General features: G+C 45.7%; 1 protein-coding gene across 3 annotated transcripts; it reads left to right on the top strand.

The window, feature by feature from the left end:
* Positions 1 to 7,878: 7,878 nt before the first annotated feature.
* Positions 7,879 to 16,084, top strand: GOLGA6L2 (golgin A6 family like 2). 3 transcript variants are annotated; one of them, XM_047432397.1, is made up of 11 exons: positions 7,879 to 8,024; positions 9,684 to 9,812; positions 10,622 to 10,651; positions 10,910 to 10,960; positions 11,049 to 11,345; positions 12,614 to 12,672; positions 13,002 to 13,143; positions 13,440 to 13,822; positions 13,862 to 13,913; positions 14,596 to 14,733; positions 14,917 to 15,781. In XM_047432397.1, exons 1-11 carry the CDS (start codon positions 7,941 to 7,943, stop codon positions 15,577 to 15,579), a joined length of 2,028 nt encoding a protein of 675 aa, XP_047288353.1. In that variant the 5' UTR covers positions 7,879 to 7,940; the 3' UTR covers positions 15,580 to 15,781. The 3 variants fall into 3 exon arrangements, with proteins under 3 accessions (XP_047288353.1, NP_001291317.1, XP_047288352.1); NM_001304388.2 differs by having other exon boundaries at positions 13,440 to 16,084; XM_047432396.1 differs by lacking the exons at positions 9,684 to 9,812; positions 10,622 to 10,651 and having other exon boundaries at positions 13,440 to 16,084.
* The last annotated feature ends 3,516 nt before the right edge of the window (positions 16,085 to 19,600 follow it).

The raw sequence follows: 19,600 nt of genomic DNA, 5'->3' as shown, positions 1-19,600 counted from the left end.
CACTCCAGCCTGGGCGACAGAGCGACACTCTGTGTCAAAAAAAAAAAAAAAAAAAAAAGCCATACACATCGGTTGCATGCACACACACACAGAAGCTTTAAATTGCTTGTATCCGTCTCTTAATTTTTTTTGGTGGAGCATATATCAGTGAATTGCTATAAAGTAAGTGTTTATGGAGCTATATCATGATTCATAGTCTGATTACTGCTTGTGAGACAAACAAAAATAGAATGTATCCATGAAAATGAACGCAGAAGTATTTATTATCCATTGATCTTTGTTACTGTACATTTATAACTGAGTTATATTGATCACTTGTTTAAAGTACGCAATTATATAAAATATAATTTTATTAACGAAATTATATTTATCATGTATGACAGCTACCAGGAGAGTCATTGTATTGGAAACTAAGAGAAGTAAATGGATAACACTTACACTGTGCAAAGTTTCCACTACACGTCATTAATTTCTGTAGTTCCTAGATAATCTTTTCAGGTAGAATAAAATGTCCACAAAACAAAAGTAATTAACCAACATAGATTCCTGAATTGCTTGCTCTGCTACGCACTCTCTACTCACCCTCATGTCTACATTCTGCCACTAACTCAAATATCCTAAACTATTGCACATGCCATCAACCCCCGCACCCCGCCGCTAAAATGTTTCAATCAGACTCACGCAGGCACCATCTGACCATTCCCTCAATGCTAATCCATAAGAAAAGAAAAGTGACAGTAGGAAAACATCAGGATAAACACACATAAAGAAATTCTTAGCCAGTTCTGACCTCTGCTTATATGGACGAAGCAGAGTATTACTTAAGAGGAGCCACACAGGCCGAGCGCGGTGGCTCACGCCTGTAATCCGAGCACTTTGGGAGGCCAAGGCGGCTGGATCATGAGGTCAGGAGATGGAGACCATCCTGGCTAACACAGTGAAACCCCATCTCTCACTAAAAATGCAAAAAAAAATTAGCCGGGAGTGGTGGCAGGCACCTGTAGTCCCAGCTACTTGAGAGGGTGAGGCAGGAGAATGGAGTGAACCCGGGAGGCGGAGCTTGCAGCGAGCCAAGTTCGCGCCACTGCACTCCAGCCTGGGCGACAGAGCGAGACTTCGTCTCAAAAAAAAAAAAAAAAAAAAAGAGGAACCACACAGAAGAAATTTAAGGGACACTCTTTGTAGTTGGAGAGATACTGATCACAGGTGTCACTCTGTTACACTCCTTTATATTGGCCTCTGTAGCATCTGTTCAAAGAAAGTATCATATTTACCAAAATTTAGCCATCTCATGAAACTTAAAAACTTTAGGAATTCTGCCATAGAACTCCAATGACTAGGAGGCTGTATCAGGAAGCCTTCTATTGTTTGCAGTGGCAAAACTATAGTCAACAATAATTTATTGTACATTTAAAAATAACTAAAAGAGTATAATTAGATTCTTTGTAATACAAAAAAGGACAAATGCTTGAGGTGATGCTTACCCTGTTTACCCTGATGTGATTATTACACATCATATGCCTGTATCAAAATATCTCATGTACCCCATAAATATGTGCACTTACTATATACTCACAAAAATTAAAAAATTAAAATTACTTTTAAAACTTGAAAAACCAATAATAAAATATTTGCAGCAATAAAATAATTCCTATCTCTACTCCACACATAATGAATAAACATTGCTACCTGGGAGATCACTTAAGGAAATTTACTTTTACTAAATGTCAATGGCATTATTGATTAAGCTTGTCAATAAACACAAGTGAAAATGATTAATAAAAAAAACACACAAATGAGCAAACAAAACCACCAACAGCAACAGGGAAACAAGACTTTTCCTGACCGAATCCCTATCTTCTCACCCTGTTCTCAGCAGCTGCCTTATGCCTTTTGCAGGTTAGAATCTTAGAATTGAGAAATAATAATTGCTTAATTTTAATAAGTTTCTACTAAATCCTTTACATACGTTTTCTCCTTTTATCCTACTACAACCCAATGTAAGAGTAGCATTATCACCATTTTACAGATGAGAAAACTGAGATGCTGGAGGCTAAATAACTTGCTGAAGGTTTTACCGCTAAAATGTAGTAAGACTAAGATTAGAAGGCAGTCCATCTGGTCCCAGAACCGTAAGTTTTAACTCCTGTGGCTAGGTTCTTACTATTAGCCGCAGATTTATTTCACATCTGAACTTTCACATATTATATGTGGGCAAATTGCCAGGAACCTAAGCTTGATTTGTTGGTACAACATCTTCCATTCCAAAATGCCCGTAGCCAGCCCTCCTGAATCCCTCGGCCTATGGGGCTAAAAAGCTGGTTTTTTTCTATGGCCATTCAACTATTTTACATTTTGTCAACTTGTCAAGGTATCATACGCTATTCGTCCATAGATCTCCTTAATGTCCATATCACACCCTGTGGACTTGCAGAGGTTGCACATTGAAATATGACTTACCCTGGTAATCCACATCTTAATTTCTTAATAATACCCATCTCAGCCGGGCGCGGTGGCTCACGCCTGTAATCCCAGGACTTTGGGAGGCCGAGACGGGCGGATCACGAGGTCAGGAGATCAAGACCATCCTGGCTAACGCGGTGAAACCCCGTCTCTACTAAAAATACAAAAAATTAGCCAGGCGTGGTGGCGGGCGCCTGTAGTCCCAGCTACTCGGGAGGCTGAGGCAGGAGAATGGCGTGAACCTGGGAGGTGGAGCTTGCAGTGAGCTGAGATTGCGCCACTGCACTCCAGCCTGGGTGACAGAGCGAGACTCCATCTCAAAAAATAAAATAAAATAAAATAAATTTAAAAATACCCATCTCAAATAATACCTTCTTCATGGAGTTCTCATAAGGCACAAATACAATTTCAGATAGATGTCACTTATATGCATACAAATATACATGCAAGTGTTTTGCAAGCTGAAAGGTATTTAACAGTATTCATAACTCTGGAAAGAGTCATCTTTATTTGCTTTTCTTCAGAATTATTAGATTTTAGGACAAAGACAGATTACAGCACAGATGACTAAAATAACCTAGATGATATATTCTAATTGTTTAGTTTTACACCATGTCCTGCCCAAGTCTATGAACGCTGCTGGTCTTTAATAATCCCACACAGGGCAACCATTGTCCTTGTGGGAGAAGCATGACATAGCATGGCAAAAAATTGGAAGAGAAATATTTCTACCACATAAGAATACCTGAGTATGGATTTTATCACAGACATTTGGGGATTTTTGTCTACAGAGTTCATAAAAAGATTCAAGTTAGTGTACTGTATCTCTTATAATTAAGATTAACTAATTTAAAAATTAGTGTTGAAAATTACCATTAAAAAGTTGAAAAACATTACACTGTCTAATCGTGATAAACTCTAACAGAAGATTTGATGTATTTAAAAGAAAAGCATGCTTTCATAGCCAGTGACCGGATTTCAAAACTGAACCCTGTACTGTCTGAGGTTTCCCCAGACTTTATATTTTAGTAGATTGCTTTCACATATGAAGGCCTGACCCCCGCAACCTCAGCCTAAGTATTAGTTGTTTTTCAGAAAATAGTAGGAAACGAGGATAAATTTTTCCACATCTTTCCAGGTCTTCTGTGTGGCAATAACATCTACTGACAGGATAGTTTGTAAAGATAGGGGTGTGGCTTATTGGTAAATGACAGAGAGCTCTACCTTTACAATCAAGTTCCAAGCAAGGAGCAGACAAGGACAAACAGCTAAGATTCTCCTTCCTTCCACCAGATATTTTGACAATTTCTCTCTGACATAAGTAGACATATTATCATAATGAATAAATTCAATGAATATATCCTCATTATTATTTATTCACTGAATATATCCTTGTTATTATAGAAATAAAGAACAAGATATTTCAGACCTCTCTAATCAACACAGCAATGGAGATAAAGATCAAATACAAAGATATCTAGCTTAAAATGAAGGATGCCTTTCTAATTTGACTTTCCTAATTTGCTGCATTGGAATAGGTAGAGTGATGTGCAGTACAAAATGTTCAACTCAAAAAGAAAAGAAATTATTTCTAATTCTTGTCTCTTACACTCATCTTAATATCTCAGAATCAATGAGATGATCATGGGTGATACAATGATTTTTTTAAATGATGAGTTACTATATTTTTACAGTAAATAGGATCTACTTTTCACCTCTTTTTTTTTTTTTTTTTTTTTTTTTTTGAGACGGAGTTTCGCTCTGTCGCCCAGGCTGGAGTGCAGTGGCGCGATCTCGACTCACTGCAAGCTCCGCCTCCCGGGTTCACGCCATTCTCCTGCCTCAGCCTCCTACTTTTCACCTCTTTATACTAAATAAGAAAATTAATAGGCCAGGCGCGGTGGCTCACGCCTGTAATCCCAGCACTTTGGGAGGCCAAAGCGGGCGGATCACGAGGTCAGGAGATCGAGACCATCCTGGCTAACACGGTGAAACCCCGTCTCTACTAAAAATACAAAAAATTAGCCCGCTGTGGTGGCGAGCGCCTGTAGTCCCAGCTACTTGGGAGGCTGAGGCAGGAGAATGGCATGAACCCGGGAGGTGGAGCTTGCAGTGAGCCGAGATCACACCACCGCACTCCAGCCTGGGTGACAGCACGAGACTCCGTCTCAAAAAAAAGAAAAGACCGGGAGGCGGAGCTTGCAGTGAGCCGAGATCCCGCCACTGCACTCCAGCCTGGGCGACAGAGCGAGACTCCGTCTCAAAAAAAAAAAAAAAAAAAAAAGAAAAGAGAGAAGTATTCGACAAATCAGTTTTGACATATGGGTTTCCTCATGTTGACTTCTGAAATATTGCTTGGTGAATATCACCAACCAATATTCCCTAGCTCCTTTGTGCACCTCAAATGACTAAGAACGGAGAGAGTACTAGAAGTAGCATCTATTTCTTTTGCAGAGATTAGAAACAAGACGCTTCTTGCTGTACTTCTTCAAAGGGTTCCGAACCGGTGATTAAGAACAACTTTACATATTTTGGAGTTGAGAGAAAGTTATGAGTCCTTTTTCAGCCTGAGACTTACTGTTATGAAGGAATGCGTACCCAGTCAGCCTTCCAAGGATACTGCTAGCAGCTGCATCAAAATATTCGTAGGGACATTGTTTTATAGACAAGAAGTCCCTTGAACCTGATGATCAAGAGAAATAAATTGATCAGGCCCTTGCAGGAGCAATTTATCACCCTGGAATACCTTTGACAGTTGCTGAAAATGCATGCTGGCAGGAAGTTTTTTAATTACCAAAACCATCAGATCATTTGCTTGGTTCTTTCAGAGTCAGTGAAATATATGAGTGAGTAATGGAGTCTGTTCAAGGAAAAATTAGCTAAGCATTGAATCTGCCACTGTCCCTGTTGCAGATGGAAGGCCAGATGTGCAGGGACAGTCACGAGTCATCAGGCTCATATATATAGAATATAGAAGCACACACATGTATGTATGTTACATATATATGTATACATGATAGTTAAAATAAGAAAGGAAAGATTTTGTAGTTTATAAGAGAACCTCATATTTACAGCAGGTTGAATTTCTGGAAAAGGCATTTTAATTAAATGGAAGTGGTTTTCTTAAGTTTAATTGGTTTTTCCTTTGGAAGTAGCATTATAATAGAGTTATATGCTTAACTAGGGGAGAGATATTCGAGTCTTTATAAAATTGGTTATAGGTCAGACACAGTGGCTCACGCCTGTAATCCCAGCACTTTGGGAGGCCGAGGCAGGTGGATCACGAGGTCAGGAGATCGAGACCATCCTGGCTAACACGGTCAAACCCCGTCTCTACCAAAAATACAAAACAATTAGCCGGGCGTGGTGGCGGGCGCCTGTAGTCCCAGCTACTCGGGAGGCTGAGGCAGGAGAATGGCGTGAACCTGGAAGGTGGAGCTTGCAGTGAGCCCAGATCGCGCCACTGCACTCCAGCCTGGGCAACAGAGCAAGACTTCTTCACAAAAAAGAAAAAAAAAAAACCTAACAAGACATCACCAGGAAAAAAACTGAGACTCCACTTCCTCTTGTGAACGTTAAGTATAAAATTACCAAATGAACTATGAGCAAGCCCATCTCAACCACATATAAAATGGTATTAATCATATATCACAACAAAGTTGATTTAATTCCAGAAATGCAAGGTTAGACATTCAAAAGCCAATCACTAAGTTACCTTATCAACATAAAAAGATAAGAAAAAAATGCTCAATCAAGAAAGAAAAAAGCAATTGATAAAATTCAGTACCTATTCATAAATCCTAAAACCTATCTAACAGAGAGGAAGCAACATGCCCAGTTAAACACTCCCATAGCTGAGAATAATGACACAACTTATTTGCAGCCAAAAGATGAAAACTGCAGGCCAGATGCAGTGGCTCATACCTCTAATCCCAGCACTTTGGGAGGCAGAGGCAGGCAGATCACGAGGTCTGGAGTTCGAGAACATCCTGGCCAACATGGTGAAACCCTGTCTCTACTAAAAATACAATAAATGAGCCAGGCGTGGTGGCACATGCCTGTAGTCCCAGCTACTCGGGAGGCTGAGGCAGGAGAATTGCTTGAACCGTGGAGAAGGAGGTTGTTACAGTGAGCCGAGATCGTGCCACTGCACTCCAGCCTGGCAACAGAGCAAGACTGCGTTTCAAAAAAACAAAACAAAACAAAAAAACAGATGAAAATTGAATATCAGTATAATCTTAAAACTTTTGAGAAATCTATGTTTTTCAGCTAAAAAGAGACAGACTCAGCCTTTTGACCTTTCCTCTTTCCCTCCCTGGAAGGCAATCCAAGGCCTGGAAAAACAACAGCCACATTGTAACCACAAAAATAAAAACATGGCTAAGGAAGTATCAGGAAACGGAAAAGAACCCTGGACTGCCTTCCTCTGCACGTTTTAAGTGACAAAAATGAAATCTATATTTCTTTTTTTTTTTTTTGAGACAGAGTCTCGCTCTGCCACCCAGGCTGGAGTGCAGTGGCATGATCTCGGCTCACTGCAACCTCTGCCTCCTGGGTTCAAGCGATTCTTCTGCCTCAGCCTCCAGAGTAGCTGGGACTACAGATGCACGCCACCATGCCCAGCTAATTTTTGTATTTTTAGTAGAGATGGGGTTTCACCATATTGGCCAGGCTGGTCTTGAACTCCTGGCCTCGTGATCCGTCCGCCTCGGCCTCCCAAAGTGCTGGGATTATAGGCATGAGCCACCGCGCCCGGCCATGAAATCTATATTTCTTTAAGTCACTGAATCAGATTTATTTTTTCTGTGACTACATGTAGCCCTAAATGATGCATTAAATACTAAAATAAATACTAAAATACATACTAAAATTTTGGTCTTGAACTCCTGACCTCAGGTGATCCACCCGCCTCAGCCTCCCAAAATGCTGGGATTACAGGCATGAGCCACTGCACCCAGCTCAAAAGCTTTGTGTTTTTAAAGATATCAGACATGTTTCTTGTTTTTTTTTTTTCAAAAAAACTTAACAATAATGTAGGAGAATAAGAGAAACTTTTTCCAAAAAAGAGAAATCACTGTGATTATCTTACTGGAATGTTGGATAATATAGTCTGCTTTATTAATCATCAAGCATGCTGTAAATTTTCCATTTTAATAGGATTTGTATCTCAATTAAGGTGATAAAGGTTTAAAGTTTTTAAAGTGAAAGCCAGCCCCGCCCCTCTCCTGGAGTGGGCGGGGACAGCAGTTGCATGGGCGGCTTTCCTTGTGACATCACAGGTCCTTCATGACACGTGGCTGCCTGGCCCCGCCTCCTTTCCCTTTCATCTTTCTCACTGACCAATGGGCTTGAAGCATTAAGGCCACGCCCCTATTCTGCATTCTAGTGCAGCCCTGGTTACACCTCCTCTGGCTCAGTCACATAGCTGCGTGGTACGTGACTGGAGGTGTATCCTTGTCCTCGTCTGAATCACGCTGATGTGGCCCCAACCCCACCTCCCTCCCCACCCCATGATGTCAGAAAAAACCAGACAGAACAAATTGGCTGAGGCCAAGAAAAAGGTAAAACTCACTGGGTTGCGGCACCCCAACCCCAACCCAGCCCCAGGCCCCCTCCCATGGCAGAACATCTGCCAGAGTCCATGCCATTCCAGAGGCACACTGGGCTGGGTCCCCCCCAGTGCCGCTGGGCTCCCCCAATCAAAATCTTCTCAGCCAGCCCCACCCCCTCAGCAGTCCTGCCCCGGCCCTTGCCAGTGACCCCAGGGTGACTGAGCCGGTGAACCCTGGGGCTCTCCACTCCGTACTCCGCCCTCACCTCCTATTACCCCAAAACTGACCTCCCTGGGCCCTTTGGGATTGTGTCTCCAAGGACCTGTGTGTCCCAGCACCTGCCCTCACCAGTCGCCCCAGGGTGACTTTGGGCAGGTGACTCCTGGGGCTCCCCGCTCCATACTTGGCCCTCACCTCCCGTCGCCCCAAGCCCTACCTCCCTGGGCTCTTTGGGCTCACGTCTCCAAGGACCTGGGTCCCAACCCTGCGAACCCCTCCCCAACCTCAAAGAGGCAACTTGGGCATAGCACTGATGTGTCCCTGGCCCTCCACCACCCCACAGAGGAGTGAAATGTAGTGGTGTCACAGTCCCTCTAGGAACTGTCATTACTGCTGCAAGACTGGCCTTTGATCTTAGGACCCGTCCCCTAAGTGTTCTCACCCTGTTTCTGCTTCCTCTGGTTGCATCACAGATTTCCAGCTGGAAGGGGAGTAGGGACCATGTGACCTAGCAGCGAGAAGTTTCAGGCTGCCTTACTCCCTTAACACAGACATTGACAGTTTGAAAAGCCTACACCTCCCCCTGTGAACTCAAAATGTTGACATTGTCTCTTGGTGGAAATGGGAGAACGGGTTTGGTTTGGTTTTCTCCCAGGCTTCTACTCTCCAGAGAGACTTTAACAGTTTTCTCTAAGTTCTCCACCTCATATTTGAATTCTCCATGGTTCTGGGACCAGATTGCCCATCAGTCAGTGATCTCTGAAGTGAGATTTGCTCATCTTCTGTGGAATAGATCTTGGGAAACTGAACTTGACAACTTGAATCTTCCTCATCGCATCTCAACCTGGGGTACTTTGAGTGCCACAGGATACATATGGGGCATCTTTCTGAAGCATCAGTTTCCCTTGATTCTCTTGAGAGAGACAAAACATTAATGTTCTTACGGATGACAGTCACACGGATTTCTAAAAGTATACCAGACTTCTCACTGAAATGAATCTTGGGTTGTCCTCTTTCTGTTAAATTCCCAGATTTAACAGAAAAGCTGCCTTCTGCCCTGAGGATACATTGATGTAAAAGTCTGAGAGGTAGTGGTGCACTTCTTCACACTAACAGATGTGTGAGGATGTACGACTCTAAACCAAACAGTGTACACTTTCCTGTCTACTTTTTACTTTTCTACCTCTGCCTCTGGTTTTGGCCCCTGGCAGCTGCGATTTGTGGCAAAACCCCAGAGCTCAGAATCAGAAGACTGAGTTTAAGTTCCATTATTGCCTTTTTTTTAGCCATGGTATCAATCCCTCTCAGTCACTAAGTGATTGCGACAACACCTCGTACGGTCGTTGGTGGCATTAAATCAGATCGTCTATGAGAGTATTTTGTATAAACTGTAAAGTGACTGTAGGAGCTTGTAGTTCTCATGAGTATCACTGCTCCTCTTTTCCACAGTTTACAGACTATCGTCAGTGGAACATTGCTGGTGTTGGTACCAGAGCAACTGACACCAAAAAGAAGAAAATAAATAATGGCACTAACCCTGAGACAACCACTTCGGAGGGTTGCCATTCACCTGAGGATGTGGGTCTTGGCTGGCCGGTCTCCTGAGGACAAGGGGCACAAGGGGAGGTCGAGGGTAACTGTTAAGATTGTGGAAGGAAGAACTGCCGGGTACTGGCTAAGAATTCTGGGTTTGAGTCCTACTTCTCTCTCCATCTGCGAGGGACACGGTTTAGGGAAAATTGCTTGAGCTCTTTGGGCCTCTCTTTTCACATCTGTAAAATGGGGATGGTAATGTTTTACTTACATGTGTGAAGCTTAAATCAGATTTGTTGCTGTTGTTTTTGTGTTAATCCCTAGTCCAGGGCCTGCTGTAAGCTCCCCTCCTCTTTGGGCTTCCGTTTCCTGAGGAGGTAGAGTTAGAGTATCAGAGGTTCTGTTTGCTCTGAGAGTCTGAGATTTAAAGATTCACTAGAATGGAAACCTTGGGGCCAAGGGCTCCTGTCTGCCTTTTCCGTCCTATATCCCAGCAGTGAAGAACCGTCCCCGGCCCCTATGTGCTTGCTCAATGCTTGTTGAATGAATGCACCTTTCTAAATCACAAGCTAGCAGAAGGGTGGGCTTTTCTCACACTCCATCTCTGAAGGTTTATGTTACTGTCTTTTTGAGATAATCTAGTTTCAGACTTTCAGTTCCGTGGCTGAGGGCAAAAACCAACAAAGACCCAAATCTCTTCTTTGGGAGTTGAGAGTTTACCACTTCATGTTCCCATTGGGTCTGAGAACGTTGCCCTTTAAAATCCATTCCTGACCCCTGCGTACCGCTTCCTGGCCTGGGGAATAGAGTCCAGGGGGCCACCCTCAGTCACCTTCCTTTGACTCTCCCCACAGACACAACAGAACCGAGCGCAGCTGAAAGAAGTAACGTGATTTGTTTGCTCACGACATGACTGCTGGGTTTGGAGGGCACTCAGATGTAGAGGCCCGTCTCATCTCGCCTACTCCCAGCTTGGGGAAGAAGGCTCACCGCCAAGATTCCACCCCATCCCCACAGGGTCCCTGATAACCTGGTCCCATGGGTGCGCCTGTCCTGGGGCATTGGTGCCATTCTGGGGGCATGTCTCTTGCTGTGGATCTCTGCCTCCCCCTAGTAAGAGCTCTGTCTTCCTCTTTCTATAGGAAAAGAAGGCAAGCCACCAACATCAGGAAGCCCTAAGGCGGGAGATAGAGGTGAGTGGAGGGTGTGAAGTTCCCTCCTGTCCTCTGGAGAAGGTTTTTTTGCTTCTCTTTCAGCACTTGCTTGTCTTTTCTCCCAAAGGCCCAGGATCATACAATACGAATTCTCACGTGTCAGAAAACTGAACTGGAGACAGCGCTCTATTACAGCCAGGATGCTGCCAGGAAATTTGAAGATGGGAACCTGGGCACCCCATCATCCTTCAACCTGGCACTTTCACAGGCCTTTAGGGGGAGTCCTTTGGGCTGTGTCTCAACCTCTCTCATTCCAGGAGAGTCCAAGGATCTCGCCGGCCGCTTGCATCATTCCTGGCACTTTGCAGGAGAGTTACAGCGGGCTCTCTCTGCTGTGTCCACATGGCACAAGAAGGCAGACAGGGTAAGTCCAATCACCTCCCCAGTCTCCTGGGATCCCAGCTTCGCAGATGGAGGAATGAGCCTAAAGGTCCCTCCTGCAGGATGCAGTGTCCTGCCCAGAAGATAGTATGGGTCATTTCTTGCTGCTTTTGTGTGTGGTTATTAGAGGCAGGTTGGGGCTGAGTCAGCTGCTGTGGGTGAGTTGGGGGGCACTGTGGGGAGCGAGCACTGGACACAGAGCTCCAAGGCCAAGAGCCTGCCCTGCCCATACTTGGCTGTGGCCTTGACCAAGTCCTAGGCAGGGGTTAAGGTATTTGTACCATGAAGGTACAGAAGAGTATCTTTAGTATGTTACCATTTGTGTAGAGAGAGGGAACACACATAAGTGTGCATGTGCGTGTGTGTGTGTGTGTGTGTGTGTACGTATTATGGTAACATACATAAAAACATATTTGTAAGGATTCATAAAAAACTCAGGAGACAGGAACAGTGTGTGTGGGGTAGATATTTCCCTTCTCTACCTTCTGAGTTTTGGACTATGCCAATGTATCGTTCTTTCAAAAAGTCAACAAAGGATTAATTTCCTCCTTCTTATCTGTGCCCCTACCCCCAGGGAAAGAATGGGCTTAGAGAATCAGATACACCTGGGTGTTGAAATCCCAGCTCTGTCAAAGTGATCTTAGGCAACCATTTAACTTTTAATACCCCATGTTTTGCATCTATACAATAGAGGTAATAATGGTAACCGTCTCCTATGGAGGTTGTGAGGATTAAATGGGATTGTTAGCATAGTGCCTGGTGAAGCACTCAAGAAAGGTTCCAACAGTGGCAGTAATAACAGTAATAGCAATAGCAATATTATCTGATCTCTCTGGGCCCCTGTTAGCCAGCTATCAATTCAGTCTCTTTCCCTGTCCCTTCTACCCTTACTGAGTTCTCTGAAAAACAAGTGAGAGCCAGGTGTGGTAGCGCATGCCTGTAATCCCAGCTACTTAGGAGGCTGAGGCAGAATTGCTTGAACCCGGGAGGCAGAGGTTGTCATGGGGCGAGATTGCGCCATTGCACTCCAGCCTGGGCAACAAGAGCAAAACTCCATCTCTAAAAGAAGAAAAGGAGAAAAAAAAAAAGAAAAAAAAATGAGACCATGGGCTTGGAATTGCCTTGAGAACATGTCGGGTGTGATGGAGAGTGAGGGAGTGTTACTGTGGAGTATCAGTGTAGCTGTTGTTCCTGGTCGGCCAGCTGCTCTTCTGCCTGCTCTGTCCTGACTTAACCTTTCTCTATTTGCAGTACATCGAGGAGTTAACAAAGGAGAGGGACGCCCTGAGTCTGGAACTGTACAGGAACACGTAGGATGGGGGAAGGTGGGATGGGAGGTCTGGGGGCCCTTAGCGTGGGTGGTGTGCTGGGAGGTGGGGGGTACAGGTGAGCATGGTAGGGGGTCATACAGGTTTACATGTGTGCACAGGGAAGCTCTAGTGCCGGCTGTGCCACTGACTCATGGGGTAGCCTCAGGCAACTCATGTCTTCTCTCTGGCCTGCCACCTGGGACTTTTAATTCCTGGGGTCCCTTCCAGTGCCACGGTTCTGTGCTTGTGGGGCGAGAGTAGAGGGTTGATCACCAAAGCAGTCCTTTCTGTTCTTCGTTCATTCCTTTCTCTACTGCCTCGGGCCATAGCATAACCAATGAGGAGCTGAAGAAGAAAAATGCCGAACTACAAGAAAAACTTCGACTTGCAGAATCTGAAAAGTCTGAGATCCAGCTCAACGTGAAGGAGCTAAAAAGGAAACTGGAGAGGGCCAAGTTCCTGCTGCCACAGGTGAGCGGCTGCAGCCCCAGGGGTTGTGGGAGACCCATCCAGCTAGGACCATGGTCTAGGGATCATGCAAGGTATGGGGAGGGTCCAGCCAAGAGCTGGAAAATTTGGGTCCTTGTTCTGGTCCCACCATAGAATCCTCTAGAGTGTGCTAAAAATCTACAAATTTGGGGCCCTGCCTGGGAAATCAGAACCTCAGTGTTAAGGCTTAAAAATTTTTTTTAAAGAATCATAGATGAAAACTGTTATTTTATAGATTACATTTATATAGCTAGTTCATAAGTCTATTTCCTTTTGAGGTTCAAACCAACACTTTGCAGGAGGAGATGTGGAGGCAGGAGGAGGAGCTACGGGAGCAGGAAAAGAAGATACGGAAGCAGGAGGAGAAGATGTGGAGACAGGAGGAGAGACTGCGGGAGCAGGAGGGGAAGATGCGGGAGCAGGAGGAGAAGATGCGGAGACAGGAGAAGAGGCTGCGAGAGCAGGAGAAGGAGCTGCGGGAGCAGGAGAAGGAGCTGCGGGAGCAGAAGAAGCTGCGGGAGCAGGAGGAGCAGATGCAGGAGCAGGAGGAGAAGATGTGGGAGCAGGAGGAGAAGATGCGGGAGCAGGAAGAGAAGATGTGGAGACAGGAGGAGAGGCTGTGGGAGCAGGAGAAGCAGATGCGGGAGCAGGAGCAGAAGATGCGGGACCAAGAGGAGAGGATGTGGGAGCAGGACGAGAGGCTACGGGAGAAGGAGGAGAGGATGCGGGAGCAGGAGAAGATGTGGGAGCAGGTGGAGAAGATGCGGGAGGAGAAGAAGATGCAGGAGCAGGAGAAGAAGACGCGGGACCAGGAGGAGAAGATGCAAGAGGAGGAGAGGATACGGGAGCGGGAGAAGAAGATGCGGGAAGAGGAGGAGACGATGCGGGAGCAGGAGGAGAAGATGCAGAAGCAGGAGGAGAATATGTGGGAGCAGGAAGAGAAGGAGTGGCAGCAGCAGAGGCTGCCGGAACAGAAGGAGAAGCTGTGGGAACAGGAGAAGATGCAGGAGCAGGAGGAGAAGATATGGGAGCAGGAGGAGAAGATACGGGACCAGGAGGAGATGTGGGGGCAGGAGAAGAAGATGTGGCGGCAGGAGAAGATGCGGGAGCAGGAAGATGTGGAGACAGGAGGAGAGGCTGCAGGAGCAGGAGAAGCAGATGTGGGAGCAGGAGGAGAAGATGCGGGATCAGGAGCAGAAGATGTGGGACCAGGAGGAGAGGATGTGGGAGCAGGACGAGAGGCTGCGGGAGAAGGAGGAGAGAATGCGGGAGCAGAAGAAGATGTGGCAGCAGGAGGAGAAGATGCGGGAGGAGAAGAAGACGCAGGAGCAGGAGAAGAAGACATGGGACCAGGAGGAGAAGATGCGAGAGGAGGAGAGGATGCGGGAGCGGGAGAAGAAGATGCGGGAGGAGGAGGAGATGATGCGGGAGCAGGAGGAGAAGATGCAGGAGCAGGAAGAGAAGATGCGGGAGCAGGAGGAGAAGATGTGGGAGCAGGAAGAGAAGATGCAGGAGCAGGAGGAGAAGATGTGGGAGCAGGAGGAGAAGATGTGGGAGCAGGAAGAAGAAGATGTGGGAGCAGCAGAGGCTGCCGGAACAGAAGGAGAAGCTGTGGGAACACGAGAAGATGCAGGAGCAGGAGATCAGGAGCAGAAGATGTGGGACCAGAAGGAGAGGATGTGGGAGCAGGACGAGAGGCTGCGGGAGAAGGAGGAGAGAATGCGGGAGCAGAAGATGTGGCAGCAGGTGGAGAAGATGCGGGAGAAGAAGAAGACGCAGGAGGAGAAGATGCAGGAGCAGCAAGAGAAGATGCAGGAGCAGGAGGAGATGATGTGGGAGCAGGAAGAGAAGATGCAGGAGCAGGAGGAGAAGATGTGGGAGCAGGAGGAGAAGATGCGGGAGCAGGAGGAGAAGATGCGGGAGCAGGAGGAGAAGATGCAGGGCCAGGAGGAGAAGATGCGGGAGCAGGAGGAGAAGATGCAGGGCCAGGAGGAGAAGATGCGGGAGCAGGAGGAGAAGATGCGGGGCCAGGAGGAGAAGATGTGGGGCCAGGAGGAGAAGATGTGGGGGCAGGAGGAGAAGATGTGGGGGCAGGAGGAGATGCGAGAGAAGGAGGAGAGGATACGAGATCAGAAAGAGAAGATGCAGGAGAGGCTGCCAGAGCACGAGGAGCGGTGCTCAGAGCCCTGCCTCCCTCCCTCCAAAGTTCTTTGTAATATGAGCCACACTGGCAGTGTGGAGCCTGCAGGAGGAGAGGCTGGGGAGGGTTCTCCGCAGGACAACCCCACTGCACAGGAGATCATGCAGCTGTTTTGTGGGATGAAGAACGCCCAGCAGTGCCCAGGATTAGGCAGTACCTCCTGCATCCCATTCTTCTACCGAGGAGACAAGAGAAAGATGAAGATCATCAATATCTAAAAGTTGGCACTGTCAACAAGGCCTACAGAAGCATAAGCCGCCATGTCACTGTGTGAATATAGTCTGAGCACAAACTTGAAAAAAAAAAAAAAAAAGAAAAGAAAATTTACTTTAAATTGTGGTAAAATACTAGCCAGGCCTTGTGGCCGAAACCTACAACCGCAGCACTTTGGGAGACCTAGAGGGGGTGGATCACCTGAGGTCAGGAGTTCAAGACCAGCCTGGCCAACATGATGAAACCCCGTCTCTACTAAAAATACAAGTTAGCCGGGCGTGGTTGTGCACGCCTGTAATCACAGCTACTCAGGAGGCTGCAGTGAGCCAAGATCACACCACCGCATTCCAGCCTGGATGACAGAGCGAGATTCCATCTCAAAAAAAAAAAAAAAGTTTCTACCTGAGGACTCTGATATCTATGTATGTTTCTATTGTTTTTCTTCTTGGTCTTTCTCATTTAGTCTTGTTTTGTTTTATGGCATTCCTAGTAAACTTTTATGTGCCTCCAGAGAGTATTGACTTTGACTTTATGGCACACAATTGGAGTAAGAGCAGATTGCCTTCATCTAGTTTGGGACTAAGCTAGTTCAAAGCAGGTTTTAGTTTGTGACGGCTGGTCTATTTTTTATTCATTTGGACTCCTAGGGGTGGCCCTTCCAGAGTTGCCACCAAGGTCCCATCTCCTTCCTGGGACCCAAATTCTCATTCAGCCCTGTGAGAGTGCCAAACATTCAGCTAGGCTTTCCAGCCTGTTAACTACCACTTCATAATACTCAGTTTCTTAGCCTCTTAGCCCTCTACTGTTGACCAATCACCAAATGTGGGAAAGCACTACAGACTGTCAGGCTCACCTCCCAGGCCTGGTCACTCAAGTTCTGGCTGAAGTCTCCCATTACCTTCAAACAATTGTTTTTGATGGGGGGGCACATTTTTGTCCAGTTTCTCTAACTGTTCTTGTGGGGAAGCTAATCTATAACAAGCTACTCTGCCTTTAGTGAAAGTTGAAAACTTTTTTTTTTTTTTTTTTTTTTTTTTTTGAGACGGAGTCTCGCTCTGTTGCCCAGGCTCTAGTGCAGTGGTGCTGGATCCCTCCCACAGCCCTTCTTTGGAGTATCTATTTGGACTGACTGCTCATTTCATAGAGAGGGGTGTGTCTCACCGCAGCCCATCTGGCATGTCTAAGGCAGCTGTGGGGTCAGAATCTGCGGCTCCCAGCCCTCAGCCCTGCAATAGTAGGAGAGGCTGGGCCCCACATCTCTGAAGTCCCACCGGGCTGGTGCAAGCGGGCTTCTAAGTCCAGGGCTGCTCTGCAGGCTGTGGGGCTCATGCGCCAGCTCTGAGCCCACCTGATGTGCTCAGGTTGCTCATCTTTGGGCCCGTCTTGCATCTCAGGCATTCAGCTGACCCTGAGGGCCTCTCCCTCATCTTGACCACCAGCTACGGGCTCTGATTTAGAGGTTCCCAGAACCTTAGACCATTTGACCCAACCCCCCATTTCTCACCTGAGGAAACTGAGACCAAAGAGGGGAAGTAACTTTCTCAAGGACCCCCAGCAAGTCGGAGGCAGAACCGGGTCTAGGAGCCTCTTCCCAACAGAAGTCCTCCCTGTCCCCTGAGCCTTCTTTAGTGCCTCATTGACTTCCCTGTAAGGAGACTGCCCTGCCAGGTGGGAAATGATGCTGTCCAGGGTGCTGTCCAGCCAAGATTGTGCCACTGCACTCCAGCCTGGGCAACAGAACAAGACTCTATCTCAAAAAATAAAAATATTTTTAATAGTGTATCATACTTCTCTCAACAGATTGAAAATATTACCATTTCAACATGAAATCAATATAAGAAAAATTGTTGAGATATTTTATATAGGTTATTTTATAATAAGGCCTCAAAAACCATCAGGGTAGCTTACATATGTAGTACATTGCAATTTGGACAGTGAAATTTGCATTGAAAATATCTGATCTGCACTTAGACTCATAAAAGATACAGTTGACGAAGTAGACTCACATGGCCAAGTGATTCTAAACATACTTAAATGCTACCTAATAATGGAATCAAGTTTTTAAATCTGCATTTTAATAAAAATTAAACATAAAATATTCAGTGTCTCAGCTATGATAGACACACTTCAAGTGCTGATCAGCAAACGGTGTGAGTGCCAGGCAGACGGGCCAGCGCAGGCTACACAGCTGCAGCTCAAACAGCACAGCTGCAGGTCAAACAGGCCAGTCTCTCTGCGCACGGGAACAGTCTGGGCAAGCATGAGACGGGGAAAACGGGCACTGTCCTCATGAGAACAAAGGACCCACAACAGGAACCCTAGACTCACCTTCTGCCAAAGACACCAACAGCCCACGACGCAGCCTCCTCACAAAAGGGAGAGGCATTCAAGAACTTAGAAAATCACCTCTTCCTGGAAAATGCTCACTTTAAAACTTTGCATGTAACTTTAAATTTTAATTACAAAGTTGTTAACATCCATTTTCTCATGTATTCTTAATTAACTCTGTGAAAGTAAACACAGCTTTTATTCTTACTCCTATAGTTACTGTGTTGGAAGTCCACCTATATGAACAAACTGTTGCAACTGAAATTTTCTGAGAACAAATCCCAAGCTCTTTCCATTAACACAAACTATATTGTTTAGTTCTCTAATTTCCACTGGTTAAAGATCAGAATGTGTGAAATATGCATTATCAGACTAGAAAAACAAAACAAACATCGGAAAAATGTTTTTCAAAATAGCATTTACTAAAATCTATGATAGAAACTAGCTCTAAAACTTCCTGTTTCAAAATGTCACTGTGCGTCCACTAAGTTCGTTTTTCTGGCTGTGGACAGCAGGCCCACCCCACGCCACGGACCCACCCCACGCCACAGGCCCACCCCACGCCGCAGGCCCAACCCCACGCCGCAGATGCACCGTGGCCCCATGAAGAGGCCAGCTGAGAGCTGCAGCCACTGCCCAGGGCTCCCTGCTCTGTGCTCGGCTGCCTGATCAAACCTGCCAGGGCTCTGCTTTCTCTATGTGTAGAAACAAAAACCAGGAGCACGATTTGACAAAAAGCAGATTTTTATTAAACAGAGGTATAAATGTGTTTCATTTTCTAATAAATCTCTTTCACAAATCACTTTGTTTTTTCACTCTTCTTGAATGATCATTTTTAGACAACACTGTCTGACCGTTTTGGCTTCTGCCAAGGTTAGCGTCTGTTCACAGGCTGAGTCTCACTTCTTCCCACCTCCTCCTAGTCGGGCCTTCCAAAACAATGCTCACCATTCTTTCACATTGACTTTAGTTTTGAAAAGAAAAGTTATCTTACAAAGTAGTATGTATAACTCTGTAATATATAAAGTGAGGCAATGATAGAACCAGTTTTAAAAATAACCTTCCATGATGATTTTCATTTACATCCACCTGCTTATTAGCAAGAATCTTTTTACAGGTTTACTGCACGCCCCAATTTCTCTTCTGTGAAAAACTTTTGAACATCATCACGCTCTCCAACTTCTCCTCTCACCTATATCGAAAAGGGTCTGCTCTTTACCCTAAAATCTATACTAGGTAATTTTCAGAATATTCCTTCAATCATCAAACAAATTTTTGAGATCCTTGCGCTAGATTTCACTATCTTAATATGAAAACCAATAATCACCTATTAAAATACAATACAGGCCAGGCACAGTGGCTAACACCTGTAATCCCAACATTTTGAGAGGCCAAGGCAGGTGGGTCACCTGACGTCAGGAATTTGAGACCAGCCTGACCAATATGGTAAAACCCCATCTCTACTAAAAATACAAAAATCAGTCAGGTGTGGTTGCAGACGCCTGTAGTCCCAGCTACTCAGGAGGCTGAGGCAGGAAAATAGCTTGAAGCCAGGAGGCAGAGGTTGCAGTCAGCCAAGATCGTGACACTGCACTCCAGCCTGGACAACAGAGCGAGACTCCGTCTCAAAAAAAAAAAAACAAAAAACATTAGTAAGTAAATAAATAGGCCAGGCGTGGTGGCCAGTGCCTGTAATCC

This window comes from Homo sapiens, chromosome 15 (genome assembly GCF_000001405.40).
Source record: "Homo sapiens chromosome 15, GRCh38.p14 Primary Assembly".
NCBI lineage: Eukaryota > Metazoa > Chordata > Mammalia > Primates > Hominidae > Homo > Homo sapiens.
This window is presented reverse-complemented; position numbering and strand designations above follow the sequence as displayed.

Bases quoted from the DNA above. Each gene is read 5' to 3' on its own strand.
- GOLGA6L2 (NM_001304388.2), top strand. From the start codon at position 7,941: ATGTGGCCCCAACCCCACCTCCCTCCCCACCCCATGATGTCAGAAAAA. The intron at 8,025-9,683 runs GTAAAACTCACT...TCTTTTCCACAG, and splicing joins TGGCTGAGGCCAAGAAAAAG to TTTACAGACTATCGTCAGTG. The intron at 12,673-13,001 runs GTAGGATGGGGG...CTCGGGCCATAG, and splicing joins CTGGAACTGTACAGGAACAC to CATAACCAATGAGGAGCTGA.